The sequence below is a fragment of the Homo sapiens genome, chromosome 14 (genome assembly GCF_000001405.40).
Source record: "Homo sapiens chromosome 14, GRCh38.p14 Primary Assembly".
Classification (NCBI taxonomy): domain Eukaryota; kingdom Metazoa; phylum Chordata; class Mammalia; order Primates; family Hominidae; genus Homo; species Homo sapiens.
This window is the reverse complement of record NC_000014.9, coordinates 58195659-58211006: the sequence shown is the minus strand read 5'-3', so window position 1 is coordinate 58211006 and position 15348 is coordinate 58195659. Positions and strand designations below refer to the sequence as shown.

Genomic DNA, 15348 nt, shown 5'->3' with positions numbered 1-15348 from the left:
AAAATTGAAAGGGATAAAAGAAGAGGTCTAGAGGCTGGGCACAGAGGCTCACGCCTGTAATCCCAGCACTTTGGGAGGCTGAGGCGGGCGGATCACCCGAGGTCAGGAGTTCGAAACCAGCCTAACCAACATGGTGAAACCTTGTCTCTACTAAAAATACAAAAATTAGCTGGGTGTTGTGGCATCTGCCTGTAATCTCAGCTACAAGGGAGACTGAGGCAGGAGAATTGCTTGAACCCAGGAGGCGGAGGTTGCAGTGAGCCGAGATCGCGCCATTGCACTCCAGCCTGGGCAATAAAGCAAGACTCTGTCTCAAAAAAAAAAAAAGAAAAAAAGAAGAGGTCAAGAAACATAAATATAGAGGAAGATGTTAAATTTAAAAAATAGATGCCTTTACCATTAAGATGAAAATAGAGAAAAAAAATTCTTCATTGTTTTTATTTGCAAAGTTTGTAATATGAACTATATATTTTTACTGTTTCTTTTTATTTAAATTTTTATTTTTAACTTAGAGACAAAGTCTTGCTCCATTGCCCAGGCTGGATTGCAGTGGTGCAATCACAGCTCACTGCAGCCTCGACCTCCTGGGCTCAAGCAATCCTCCCACCTTAGTCTCCTGAGTAGCTGGGACTACAGGTGCATGCCACCACGTCCGGCTAATTGAACTGTAACTGGCAGTTAAAATTAAACCAAAGAACAAAATATACAAATAGTTGGCTCTGTGCAACATTTTTTTCAGTAAGAATTTGCCAAACCTGGTGCCATCTCAAATACTAGATATTCAATCAAAATATGACAGTCCATCATAATCGAATGGCAGACAAAATAATGGCTGTATTCCCCTTATCTAAATAAAGTAGGTATTCTAGTCATATAGAAGATATTAACACAAACTCTAATTATAAATACAGAGAATATTCTACTTTATTCAGATAACAGCTGACACGACTTCTTGTTTTGCTTTATGTTCTCCTTACTACAAATGAAATTCCTGGACTCATGACATCAGTAGGTACTGGAGGCTATGCAACCTGATTCCCTGTACCTGCTTTACAAAAATATAACTTAGAAATATTAAGTGCCTTTACCTCATAAAGACATTGTGATTTTTGGTATTAGGTATGTTTTGAATTCAGTAAATGTATGAAAATACATTTATATGTGCTTAATTTCTTATTCACTTAATACATATAATCTTACATTTTCCCTTGCTGATAAAACCTAAATTTTAAGGCAAAGATTTTTAAAAATTTGAATAATTAAGATTCTGGTCTACTATGAAATATACTAATCTTAAAACATATTCTTGGTGATAAAATAATCCTGATTCCTATAAAATCAAAGCTACAGGTAATATTACTTATATTATGAGGTAAGTCTCATTCCTGGCATTACCAACTTACTCTAAGGGAGGCACTGAATATTCCATTTTAAAGGAATTTGAAGCCTAAAATGACAAAATTCAGAACAGTACAACTAAACAATGGAAGCTAGAAAGATCTGGAAGAAATACATTGCAAAGTCCACAGCACAGAATATACCTTTTAATTCTGAATAAAAAAAAGTCCCCAAATAGAAAAACCTATATTAAAATAAATAAACAGTAATAAAAAGAAATATCCAATTATGTAAGTGTTGGATGAAATGCTAAAGCATGAAATAACCACACAAAGGAAGAAAATAAATGGCCAGTTTGAAGAATCTTCTGTCATCTGGTTCCCCAACTACACTGTGTGCCATACACAATATGAGACAAAATAAGGGCTTTTATTAGTTTAAGTTTTGAGTACCTACCAACAAAAAAAAAGAGAAGAAAGATTCCCTAAAAATTGGTAAGAATTTTATTGCTTCTCTTTTTATTTCAAAAGCAATTTACTTATTTGATATAAAGACAGGTACCTCAAAATATTTGAAAAGAACACGAGTGAGTGTCTCTCTGAAGTGAGAAGGACATAATACCGATTCGATAATCACAACTCGGCGGTCTCTGGGATTCACCAATAGATGCCTGAAAAGTGAAAGTTTTGGTTTTAAAAGTAAAAGTTTTTATTCATTTTGTTAAGTCATACAATTTAAGAACAGTGAAACTGTACTACCTTAGCTTAAGATATTTTATCACAAAAAGACATCTTCATTTTATTACCCCAGAAAGATAACATTTCTGACCTCTTACTATGTACCGTGCAGTGTGCTAGGAAATTCATTAACTTACTTATCTCAGAAACCTAAAATTATAGCCTACTATGATTACCAACTTGAGCCATTATATAGATTTTTTTTTTTTTTTTGAGACAGGATCTGGCTCTGTTGCCCAAGTTGGAGTGCAGAGGGGCAATCTCACCTCACTGCAACCTCAGCCTCCTGGGTTCAAGCCATCCCCTGATCTCAACCTCCTGAGTAGCTGGTACTACAGATGTGAGCCACAGCACCTGGCGATATTTTCTTTTTTTTTAGGTTACAATAGTAATATATGCTCACAAAGCTCCAAATATTATGACACGTAAAACTTGCAAAGTACAAGAACCTTATATCTCTACTACTCAGAACTATCACTGATAGAAGTTTGTATTTTTTTTCATTCTTATGGATGTATGGGGGTATGTTTTAACAGAAATACTCATTCCATAGATGTGGTTCTTTAACTTGCTTATTTCACTTATCAATATATCCCACACACCTTCCTGTACTACTACATACAGATGCAGAACTCTTTTTAAAGAGCTGCATGGTATTTCACTGTATGAATGTAGAATAATTTAATTATCAGTTCACTTCATTAATGAATATTTCATTTTCAGTATCTCTTTATGTCTGCCAGTTTTCTAGTCTTCAAATATATTTTTGAAAAGGTTGAAAATAAGCATGTAAAAATGGCAATAGAAGTCCATTTTTTTTTTTTTTGGCCTCAGCTGTAACACAACCAATTATCACTATGGCATTAGGAAAATCTATCTAATCATAAAAGCTAGAAAACAAAATGTATCTTACCTGAAATATAGTATGTGGATGAATTCCTTTAGGTAGGAATATAATTCTTCTGTATTGATATTATACTGAACAACTCTGACAGGCTGTAAAAAATTAAAATGATTTATTAATTTATATTAATAAAATAACCTCAAATTAAGATTAAAATGTAATTATTTACTAATACATTTTCTGGGAATAAATTAAAAGCAATCTGTATTGAGAATATAAAAATTAAATACAGAGTAATCTCTTAAATTAGGAATCCTTAAGAATCGGAATGTCTAAGATGGCAGAATGTTTTAGTCTGTGGTAATGGAAGTGTGTGTTCATAGGAAGTAAAGAGCATGGCTCACATGCATTTTTCCTCCATCTGACTTATCATTTTGGCTTGAATGATAAAAATCAGCTTTGAGGCCAGGTGTGGTGGCTCATGCCTGTAATCCCAGCACTTTGGGAGGCCGAGGTGGATGGATCACTTGAGGTCAGGAGTTCGAGACCAGGCTGGCCAACATGGTGAAACGCTGTCTCTACTTAAAATACAAAAATTAGCCAGGCGTGGTGGTGTGTGCCTATAGTCCCAGCTACTCTGGAGACTGAGGCAGGAGAATCACTTGAAAACCCTGGAGGAGGCTGCAGTGAGCTGAGATGGCTCCACTGCTCTCTAGCCTGGGCAACAGAACCAGATTCCGTCTCAAAAAACAAACAAACAAACAAACAAACAAATTTCCAGCACTTTGGGAGGCCGAGGCAGGTGGATCACCTGAAGCTAGGAGTTCAAGACCAGCCTGGCCAACATGGTGAAACCCTATCTCTACTAAAAATACAAAAATTAGCTAGGCGTGGTGGCGTGCACCTGTAGTCCCAGCTACTCAGGAGGCTGAAGTGGGAGAACTGCTTGAACCCAGGAGGTGGAGGTTGCAGGGAGGCAGAGGTTGCAGTGAGCCAAGATCGTGCCACTGCACTCCAGCCTGGGTGACAGAGTGAGAACCTGTCTCAAAAAAAAAAAAAAAAAAAAATTCAGCATTGAATAAAAAGCATCAAAGGCTTCCTCAAATACTCAACTTGGTTCAGTCCCTGTTAGTCCAAAAACACTGATATCTTCTCTTTTGCAACATCGCCACACTGAATTACTTGTAAAATGTCCCCCTTTCTGCTAGATTATAAGCTCTATGCACAAGAACTATTTCTGGCTTGCTTATGATATATCTTTCTTCAAATAATACAGTTCCAGGTACATAGTTGTGGTTGTTCATAAATATGTGTGATAAAAATGACAACAAACACCATTAGCACAAAAGCAGCCTACACACATATTACCAAGCCATGAGTGCTAAGTCAATGCTAATATATAACAATGGCTTCACTTATGATCCTCAGAAAGCTCTCAGTACTCTGATGCATCATTGGCAGACCTCTCTTCATTTACTCTTTCAAAAGAAGTACCATCAGCCTAATTTCTTGATTTTATGTGGCTTAAAGAAGATTCCAAACCATATATAATCAAATATAAATAATTTTTTAGGTATCTGTCTTTTCAAATGAAGATAAAAACTCGTTCGGGCGCAGTGGCTCATGCCTGTAATCCCAACACTTTGGGAGGTCAAGGCGGGTGGATCACCTGAGGTCAGGAGTTTGAGACCAGGCTGGCCAACACGGCGAAACCCCGTCTCTACTAAAAATACAAAAAAAAAAAATTAGCTGGGTGTGGTGGAGGGCGCCTGTAATTCCAGCTACTTGGGAGGCTGAGAGAGGAGAATGGCTTGAACCCGAGAGGAGGAGGTGGCAGTGAGCAGAGATCATGATACTGCACTCCTGCCTGGGTGATGGAGTGAGACTCCATCTCAAAAAAAAAAAAGATAAAAGCTCAAAGCACCAAGGAAAGTGGCAACAAAAACGTACAGGGTCTAATCCAGTAAGAAATCTATCTGGTAACACAGTAATGCCAATTGTTATAAAGCAAAATGACATGAAAAATTAGTAAACAGGAACTTCCATCCCCCGCCCCCGTTTTTTTTGACATGGAGTCTCCCTCTGTTGCCCAGGCTGCAGCACAGTGGCATGATCTCAGCTCACTGCCACCTCCGCCTCCCAGATTCAAGCGATTCTCCTGCCTCAGCCTCCCGAGTAGCTGGGACCACAGGTGCCTGCCACTACACCTGGCTAATATTTGTATTTTTAGTAGAGATGGGGTTTCACCAAGTTGGCCAGGCTAGTCTCAAACTCCTGGCCTCAAGTGATCTGGCCACCTCAGCCTCCCAAAGTGCTGGGATTACAGGCATGAGAGACCACACCCGGCTTCCATCACATTTTTGAACATCAAACCACCAATATCTACCATATTTCTGGCTTGTCCAAGGATTTGCAGAAAAATTTAAAATCAATGAAATGATTCCTTAATCAAGTGTAATTAAAAAGATTTCTGGGCCGAGCGCAGTGGCTCACACCTGTAACCCCAGCACTTTGGGAAGCCAAGGCGGGCGGATCACGAGGTCAGGAGATACAGACCATTCTGGCTAACACGGTGAAACCCCGTCTCTACTAAAAAATACAAAAAATTAGCTGGGCGTGGCGGCGGGCAACTGTAGTCCCAGCTACTCGGGAGGCTGAGGCAGGAGAATGGCATGAACCCGGGAGGTGGGGCTTGTAGTGAGCCCAGATCATGCTACTGCACTCCAGCCTGGGCGACAGAGCAAGACTCCGCCTCAAAAAAAAAAAAAAAAAAGATTTCTGATGTATGTAAATGCCAAATATAAACTGCTGGTCTCGTCTATTCTGCTATAACATGTTTTTTTTTGTTTTTGTTTTTGTTTTTTTTGAGATGGAGTTTCGCTCTTGTTGCCCAGACTGGAGTGCAATGGCACAATCTCAGCTCACCACAACCTCCACCTCCCGGGTTCAAGTGATTCTCCTGCCTCAGCCTCCTGAGTAGCTGGGATTAACAGGCATGTGCCACCATGCCCGGCTAATTTTGTATATTTAGTAGAGATAGGGTTTCTCCTTGTTGGTTAGGCTGGTCTGGAACTCCTGACCTCAGGTGATCCACCTGCCTCAGCCTCCCAAAGTGCTGGGAGTGAGCCACCGCATCTGGCCAACATGTGTTTTTATAAAACCAAATATGCTTATATGCGATTGCTAAAAAAGGAAATAATGTCAGAAAAATGTTATAGTTGTATTAGTTAATATTAGGCAAGACAAGCTATAATTATAATGGAAGTATAACTTTCATCAAGAAAAAGAAAGTCATCAACTCAGTTATCACACAGGTAGATATGCTTTCAGATCTATTCATAAGAAAAGTGTAAATAACTCCCTACACCAGCAATTCGTGCCTCAGAGTGGATCCATGACTCTGTTGGGTTGCATTTCCTCCTAGTTGCTACTTAATAACAGTCCCACTGGCTCAGAGCTTGCTACCATCTGCACTGACTCAGAACCCACTGGCTAACATTTTCAATCCATGACTTTTATTTTTATTTGTTTATTTTTGAGACAGGGTCTCACTCTGTCGCCCATGGTGGAATGCAGTGGTGCAATCTTGGCTCACTGCAGCCTCAACCTCCTGGGCTCAAGTGATCCTCCCACTTCGGCCTCCCAAGTAGCTGGGGACTACAGGTGCGCACCACCTCCACGATTTTATTTTATTTTATTTTTTTGAGATGGAGTCTCGCTCTGTCGCCCAGGCTGGAGTGCAGTGGCGCAATCTCGGCTCACTGCAAGCTTCGCCTCCCGAGTTCACGCCATTCTCCTGCCTCAGCCTCCCAAGTAGCTGGGAATACCAGTGCCTGCCACCATGCCTGGCTAATTTTTTTTTTTTTTTTTAGTAGAGATGGGTTTTCACTGTGTTAGCCAGGATGGTCTCGATCTCCTGACCTCGTGATCTGCCCGCCTCGGCCTCCCAAAGTGCTGCGATTACAGGCGTGTAATCTGCCCAGCCCACAATTTTATTTTTAATATTCCCTAAGACAGCCTCCAGCCACACTCAGCTGCCTGCCAATCCTATTTAAATTTTGTGGAGGCATCAATTATTGTTTTTGCTAGTCCTCTGATTACAAAGTTACACAGGTTTTATATGGACTACCTCAAGCTTATTTTTCCCATAAGCCTGTTTTGTTTTGTTTTTTAAAAATGTACCATTTTGCAGAACAAAGGTATTTTCTGGAATGCATATATAATGTTACTGTGGTAACAGCTACATCTCATTTTTTAACAAGTGAATTTTATAACATGCAAAATCATTCTTTCTACTGGTTGTAATTTCTAATCTGCCAAATTAGCTGTGGCAAGAAACTTTTTGAAAGTTTGTTTTCAAAATTCTCTGGGTTTTGAAACTGTAAATAAGGGAATAAATATCTGATATATTATAAATAATAAAATAATTCAGTGGTTATAAGACTTATAAAAGTATTTTACTGAAGTTAAAATTTTTCTCTTGATATATGATTCCATTTACATAAAATGTACAGAAAAGACAAATCTATAGAAACAGAAGGTACACCCTAATGGGCTGAGGATAGGAATGAGGATTAATTGTAAACGGGTATTAGGGATTTTACTGGGGTGATGAAAACATTCTAAAACTGGATTGTGGTGGTACTTGTACAACATGATATACTTATGGTGTGCAAAATTAGACCTTGATAAAGTTGATTTAAAAAGAAAAACTTTTCCTTGGAAATATAGCCACAAAGTATATATTTAGTACTGTTTCTTGTTTCTTTTTTTTTTTTTTTTTTTGAGACGAAGTCTTGCTCTTGCCCCCCAGGCTGGAGTGCGATGGCTTGATTTTGGCTCACTGCAACCTCCGCCTCCCGGGTTCAAGCAATTCTCCTGCCTCGGCCCCCTGAGGAGCTGGGATTAGAGGTGCCTGCCACCACTCCCGGCTAATTTTTGTATTTTTAGTTGAGACAGGGTTTCACCATGTTGTCCAGGCTGGTCTCAAACTCCTGATCTCAGGTGATCCACCCGCCTCAGCCACCCAAAGTGTTGGGATTACAGGCGTGAGCCACCACGGCTGGCCTTTAGTACTGTTTTAATCAATCTTACTTGAAGTCATATTTTAAAACATTTTATAGTATGGCATTTATTTTGCTAATATTTTTTTTTAAATACCTTAGGCATCCCAGCTCTTTTTATCACACTAGGAATTATACATCTTGGACCAGTTTCTCCAGCAAATCCACACCTGCAAATAAATGGAAAATTGAAACAACTTATAGTATTCTTTTAAATATTTGTCACAGAAACTAATTTTCTCTGTATTTGTTTCAAAACAATGGCCACAATAACATTTGAAAATACCTGATGTATTTTAAGGGATCAAAAAAAATCACTCCACAAAACTAATAATACTATTTATTAATGCTTGTGTATTAACAGAAAAAAATTCTATGAAATTCGTGATGCTGAAAAAAACAAATGTATTATTTTAGGGCAGCATTTACTTTTTTTTTTTTGAGATGGAGTCTGGCTCTGTCACCCAGGCTGGAGTGCAGTGGCGCGATCTCGGCTCACTGCAAGCTCCGCCTCCCGGGTTCACGCCATTCTCCTGCCTCAGGCTCCTGAGTAGCTGGGACTACAGGTGCCGGCCACCACGCAGGGCTAATTTTTTTTTTTTTTTTTAGTAGAGACGAGGTTTCACCGTGTTAGCCAGGATAGTCTCGATCTCCTGACCTCGTGACCCGCCCGCGTCGGCCTCCCAAAGTGCTGGTATTACAGGCGTGGGCCACCGCGCCTGGCCAACTTTTTTCCTAGTTGTTAATTTTAGCAGAATTTAGGCAAGACATATCTACAACTCTGAATCTGTACTACATTATGTGACTTCATTCATATAATTCATCTGTATCACTCATAATTCCATCATTCTAATATTGTTAGCTTCCATATTGGTGTATTCACTTTCAGTCTACTTCTTATGATTATGCATATATATTTGACATAGTTTTAATCACACTTCATACATAATTAACTCATACAGTAAGCTTCTGCCCATATTAACATAATCTTCATTGCTATCACTTTTTTTTTTTTTTTTTTTGAGGCAGGGTCTCGCTCTGTCGCCCAGGCTGGAGTGCAGTGGCACAAACTCAGATCACTGCAGCCTCCGCTTCCCAGGCTCAAGCGATCCTCCCCCCTTGGCCTCCCAAAGTGCTAGGATTTCGGGCACGACACTACCGCCGGCTAAATTTTGTATTTTGTGTAGAGCTGGGTTTCCCCATGTTGCCCAGGCTGGTCTTGAACTACTGGGCTCAAGTGGTCAGCCCGCCTCAGCTTTCCAAACTGCTGGAATTACAGTATTATTTTTAAAACCACATATTTCATTATTTTAAAAACGATGCTCTTTTCTTGAGTATTTAGGTATTTCCATTTTTGTTTCATGTTAGTAAAACAAAAATTTGCTAAAAACGTTGCTAAAAATGATCATCATACTAGTTTAGTCTTAACATCCTGTCTTCTTGTCCTGTCTAGTTTTTGATACTGCTCTCCTCGTATTCCCAAATAATTCTCTCCATCTCCTCCTATTCCCGTCTCCATGTTTACTTGCATCAGTGCTCCTCAAACATCTCAGAATGCAAGCCATTAGACTTCAATTCCTTTTTTTTACTTCATACATTTATCTTATCATCCTCCTGCTGTCTTTTTCAAATATAGCTTTTTGCTTATTTCTTCCAAGTACAGCCAAAATAATTATCTTTGACTAGAAGCCTCGAACTGTTTATTACGCTTTCAAAATAATTTTAATAAGAAAATATAAATAAGGAAGGGCCTCGCATAGAACAATAAGAGAATGTCATTAACCAAGGACTATGTTTAATCCAATTCTGGAGTTCCTGGGGTCCAATTTTTAAATAGGCTCTTTTAACCACTTAGTCAATAAATAGTTATTAAATACCTACTACACGTCAGGAAGTGCCTAGAGATATAAAAAGATTTTTCAAATGTTTCATTTTCATAAATACATATATGATGTAATTGCCTGTTACTTCCCTCTCTGTTGAGCCCATCACAAGGACTCTTAATCTAGGGTCCCAGGACCACATTGATTGTCTGCCAATTCCCTGAAACTGTGTATAAGTACCTTAAGATTTGTGCATTTGTGGTTTTCATCCAGCCATTAAAGAGATCTATGCCATCCGAAAGGTTGAGAACCTCCTCTCTATTGTTTACAAGTTGGTTTGTTTAAAACATGTCAAATCTAACCTTCGAGTTTAGGGGAGCCAACAAAGGATTTCCAGAATCTTATCTATAGGGTTTCACCTCTTAATGTGCCCAGTCTCCCTAATTCTTGAGCAGCGATAGCCCTGTCTTAAACATCTTTCCATTTTCAGCACCAAAATAAACTCCGTTCAATATTTTATGATGAAATTCGTCATCGAGCATTTACATTCGGTTGGCTGCCTTCCTCAACTGAGGAGCCCAGGGTAAGCGGGGTCTAGGTCACGGTTGTCATCCCCTACACAGATGATCCCAAAGGGTTTGTTGGGTTTGGGGTGATGACAAGGGGCGGCGACGAGGGCAATTCAACAGAAGCTTTCTGGGCCTCTCTGGGAGTCAGACCCCGATCCTCGGATTCGCATCGCCCAGGGAGGAAATAATAAGAGCTGTTATTTGCAAGGGCGCTGGTTGAAGAAAAGGGGAGGCCCGGAGCTGCCCAGCGAGTCGGCGATGAGGACCCAGGCAGTGCCTGGGGCTCTGCCACCCGCCCTCCCCTCGGGTCGAACACAGCTGGCGTCACGGCCACTCACTTGGTAAAGGCCTCTCCCAGGTCGATCACGACCGCCGTCTTCTCCCCGCCGCTCCCCAGGCCCTCGTAGAGCGGCATGGTAGTAAGGCAGACTGAGAGAAGAGGGTCGCAGTCTCCGCGGCCAACAAGTCTCGGCGCTCGCGGGGCGGGGCCGGGGCTCCGGCGCTCGGGCGTCGGCGACGGCGGGGGCCTCGCGCGGCCGCGGCGCGCCGGGCCCGGGCTGTCCCAGGCTGTGCCTCATTCCGCGTTGGACCCACCCTTGCAGGTGCTGCCGTCGCCAGGACTAGGGGAAAAGAGGCGCTGGCGGGCGCGAATCCGAGTGCGGGGGCGCGGAGGCCGCGGCGATCAGGCGCGCCGGTCGCCCTGAGGGGGCGGAGCCGGCCTCCCTATCCTTCCCTCCCACCACGCCCCAAAGCCGCACCCACGCGCGGCTGTGAAGAGGTTCGGTCTCAGCTCACTGTGAAGAGGTCACTGAGGACCTGGCTGCCAAGGGGCAGCCGAGAGACGACGCAATTCCGAACCTTTGATTCATGCTCTTGGGGGGCAGAAGATGCTGAGACCCTATTCTGTGCTAGGCGTTTTGCCTAATATTTAATCTTCTCAAGAAATAACAAGAATATGTGTTTTCTTATCTGTGGGGACCGACGCTCAGAGAGATTAACTTTCCCAATGTCCCACGGCAGAGCCAGGAACAAACCCACAGACTTCCTAATTGCAAAGCCTATGCTAATGATGCTTTAGAGAATAATACGTACAGACAATACTTTAGTTAGTAGTCTTTCTGAAAGTTTTTATTTTACTCCAGAATTAAGCAGCTAGAGTAGCGTCTGTGAATCTTGAATCTGTCCATAGAGGAGCGGTCGGGATGGTTTAATAGAAGAAACATTGAAGCAAAGGCCCCTATTAGGTTGGTGCAAAAGTAATTGCTGTTTTTGCCACTACTTTTAACATTTACATTACTGTTTACATCTTTGTCACTTCACAGCTTTCTGTGAAAATATTTTTTTCCTGCAAATATTAGCTCTAACTGTATCTATGCATAGGAGTGGAAAAGACTGTCAAAGGAGAGGCTGTGCAATAAGAAAAGAGGTTCAAGGGTAAATCGGTGAGGACTAGCAACATTTAGCTGGTGTACTGGGTTGAATGATGCCCCCCCCCCCAAAATTCTTGTCCACTGGGAACCTCAGAATGTGACCCTATTTGGAAATAGAGTCTTGGCAGATGTAATCAAGTTAAGATGAGGTTATACTGTATTAAGATGTCCCAACTGTCCGAGCGCAGGATCACACCTGTAATCCCAGCACTTTGGGAGGCCGAAGCGGGAGGATCCCTTGAGCCCAAGAAGTCTAAAGCGGCAGTGAGTCGGGATTGTGCCGCTGCACTCCAGCCTGGGCAACAACAAGAGTGAGAGCCTGTCTCTCAAAAAAAAAAAAAAAAAAAAAAAAGGCCCTACTCTAATGGTTGGTAACTAGAGTTAGCGGGGTAGTTGGGGATAAGCTATTTCCATAACAAAAACTAAGGCTGTAACAATGCAGAAATTTGGAATGTGATATTAGTAAAATTCATGTTTAAGTCCAAATTACTGATCAATGATCCTCCTTGAAAGCAAATTCCTGGAGACAGGAGAATGAAGTTGGAGTTGTGACGGGGAAGAAAACTTTAAGAAACGTGGGAAGAGATTAAATTTTTTGCTTAATAGAGTCAGATTATTTGAATAGGACCCCTTACTTGAGTTCAGATTCTGTTTCTGCCACTTTCTGTCAAGTCCCTAATACCTCTGATCGTCCACTTCCTTATCTGTAAACTGTTCTGCTGCTTCACAAGGTATTTGTAAGGATCAATTTGAAATTATGTTTCTGAAACTATTGAAATGATGAAGTTTGTTATTACCTATTCTATGTTTTCCATGACAGCTCACCAGCTGTATTTGTTAGCTAGGGACTGCCGTAACAAAGTACCACAAACGGTGGTTCAAGGAAACAAAAAATTTATTCTTTCACACTTCTGGAGGTGAGAAGTCAGAAATCAAGGTGTCAGCAAGAGCAAGGTCATGCCCTCTTTGAAGGCTCTTGAGGAGGATCCTTTCTTGTCTTTTTTTTTTTTTCTTTTTTTGAGATGGAGTCTCGCTCTGTCACCCAGGTTCGATCTCAGCTCACTGCAGCCTCCGCCCCACCAGGTTCAAGTGATTCTTCTGCCTCAGCCTCTGGAGCAGCCGGGATTACAGGCACCTGCCACCACGCCCAACTATTTTTTTTTGTTTGTTTTGGATTTTTAGTAAAGATAGGGTTTCACCATGTTGGCCAGGCTGGTCTCGAACTCCTAACCTCAGGTGATCTGCCTGCCTTGGCCTCTCGAAGTGCTGGGATTACACCGCGCCCAGCTTTTTTTTTTTTTTTTTTTTTTTTTAACAGAGTCTCGTTCTGTCATCCAGGCTGGAGTGCAGTGGTGCAACCTTGGCTCACTGAACCCCAGACTGGGCTCAAGCAATTCTCCTGCCTCACCTTCCCAAGTAGCTGGGACTGCAGGCATGTGCCACCTTGCGTGGCTAATTTTAACATCTTTTGTAGAGATGGGTTTCACCGTGTTGCCCAGGCTGGTCTTAAACTACTGAGCTCCGGTGATCCGCCTTCCTAAGCCTCCCAAAGTGCTGAGATAACAGGCATGAGCCACCGTGCCTGGCCTTCTTTCTTGCCTTTTCCTAGCTTCTGGTGGTTGCTGGCAATCTTTGATGTGCCTTTGCTTGTAGATACATAACTCCAATCTCTGCCTCTGTCATCACTTGGCCTTCTTCGCTGTGTCTGCATTTTTCACATTATGTACTCCTCCCTGTGTCTTCACATCACTTTCCTTCTGTGTGTGTCTCTGTGTCCAGATTTCCCTCCTTTTTTCTTAATTGTTTTCTTTTTTATTTTTTCTGTATTCGGCTGAACAAATTTCCCTCTTCTTGTTTATTTTTATTTTTATTTTTTTTGAGACGGAGTTTCACTCTTGTCGCCCAGGCTGGAGTGCAGTGGCGCGATCTCAGCTCACTGCAACCTCTGCCACCTAGGTTCAAGCAATTCTCCTGCCTCAGCCTCCCAAGTAGCTGGGATTACAGGCACCTGCCACCATGCCTGGCTAATTTTTTGTATTTTTAGTAGAGATGGGATTTTGCCATGTTGGCCAGGCTGGTCTCGACTCCTGACTTCAAGTGACCCGCCCGCCTCGGCCTCCCAAAGTGCTGGGATTACAGGCATGAGCCTCTGTGCCCGGCCTCCCTCTTCTTCTGAGGATATCAGTTACTGGCTCAGGGTCCATCTTAACCCAGTATGACTTCATCTTAACTTGATTACATTTGCAAAGGATCTAATTCCAAATATAGTCACATTCTAAGATTTCTGTTCACACGAATTTTGGGGAGGACACTATTCAACCCAGTACACAACCTAAATGTTGTTGTTCTCCATGGTTCTGCTCTTGAACCTCTTTTCTTATTGTACACCCTCTCCTTTGCCAATCTCTTCCACTCCCATAGATACAGCTAGAGATAATATTTGTTGAGTTCTATTTGCTAGCTCTCCTTGCTATATATGATCCCATTTATTCCTCACAGCAACTTTATGAGTTAAGTGTTATTGTTACTAGAAAGGGGTCTCAATCCAGACCCCAAAAGTGTTCTTAGACCTCGCACAAGAAATAGTTCGGGGCAAGTCCATAGAGTAAAATGAAAACAAGTTTATTAAGAAAGTAAAGGAATAAAAGAATGGCTACTCATAGGCAGAGCAGCAGCGTGAGCTGCTTAACTGCTTATACTTATCATTACTTCTTGATTATATGCTAAACAAGGGGTGGATTATTCATGGATTTTCTGGGAAAGGGTTGAGCAATTCCTGGAACTGAGGGTTTCTCCCCCTTTTAGACTACATAGGGTAACTTCCTGATGTTGCCATGGCATTTGTAACTGTTGTGGCACTGGTGGGAATGTCTTTTCAGGTGCCTTGACATTATATTCTTCATGTTTCTTTTGTTTGGGATTAAGTGAACTTGGACCTGTGGTTTTATAGTTTTCATCAAATTTGGAATATTTTGACCTTTGTTTCTTCAAGTAATTTTTCTATACTGACTCTTCTCCTTTGGGTAGTCCAAGTACATATGTTATTAGGTGGTTTAAAGCTTTCTCGTAGCTCACTGACTCTTTGTTCTTTTTTCTTTTTCTCACTTATATTTTTTCCTCTGTGTTTCTTTTTGTATAGTTTCTACTGTTTTGTCTTCATGTCTATTGATCTTCTCTTTTGCAGCATTTAATCTGCTATTAATCCCATCCAGTGTATTTTTCACCTCAAAATTGTATCTTTAACTTCTAGAAGTTCAATTTAGGTCTTTTTCTTTGTATCTTTTTTTTTTCTAGACAGAGTTTTGCTCTGTCACCCAGGCTGGAGTGTAGTGGTGTGATCTCCCCATTGCAACTTCTGCCTCCTGAGCTCAAGTGATCTTTCCACCTCAGCCACCCAAATAGCTGGGACTACAGGCACATACCACCATGCCCAGCTCTTTTTTGTTTGTTTGTTTTGGAGAGACAGGATTTTGCCATGTTGCCTAGGCTGGTCTCGAGCTTCTGGGCTCAAGCAATCCACCCATCTCAGCCTCCCAAAGTGCCG

General features: G+C 41.6%; 1 protein-coding gene across 4 annotated transcripts in view, besides 3 other annotated features; it reads right to left on the bottom strand.

Annotated features, from left to right (window-relative positions):
• Positions 1-10858, bottom strand: part of ACTR10 (actin related protein 10) — a 35488-nt gene extending 24630 nt beyond the window's left edge. For 3 of the 4 annotated variants that reach the window (XM_011536960.2, NM_018477.3, XM_011536961.2), the window contains exons 1-4: positions 10713-10858; positions 8080-8152; positions 2989-3071; positions 1900-2008 (exon numbers count right to left, since the gene is read on the bottom strand). In XM_011536960.2, the coding sequence (XP_011535262.1) occupies positions 1900-2008; positions 2989-3071; positions 8080-8152; positions 10713-10789 (342 nt within the window). In that variant the 5' untranslated portion in view covers positions 10790-10858. Of the gene's footprint in view, positions 1-1899; positions 2009-2988; positions 3072-8079; positions 8153-10712 lie in introns of those variants that run through there. The other variant, XM_047431587.1, reaches the window with a different exon arrangement.
• Positions 10476-10665: an enhancer, noted in NCBI's record as "active region_8442". NCBI's record gives its function as "activates an Ori minimal core promoter by ATAC-STARR-seq in GM12878 lymphoblastoid cells {active_cell/tissue: GM12878}" and the evidence as "EXISTENCE:reporter gene assay evidence [ECO:0000049][PMID:35858748]".
• Positions 10826-11215: a silencer, noted in NCBI's record as "silent region_5797". NCBI's record gives its function as "represses an Ori minimal core promoter by ATAC-STARR-seq in GM12878 lymphoblastoid cells {active_cell/tissue: GM12878}" and the evidence as "EXISTENCE:reporter gene assay evidence [ECO:0000049][PMID:35858748]".
• Positions 11286-11415: an enhancer, noted in NCBI's record as "active region_8441". NCBI's record gives its function as "activates an Ori minimal core promoter by ATAC-STARR-seq in GM12878 lymphoblastoid cells {active_cell/tissue: GM12878}" and the evidence as "EXISTENCE:reporter gene assay evidence [ECO:0000049][PMID:35858748]".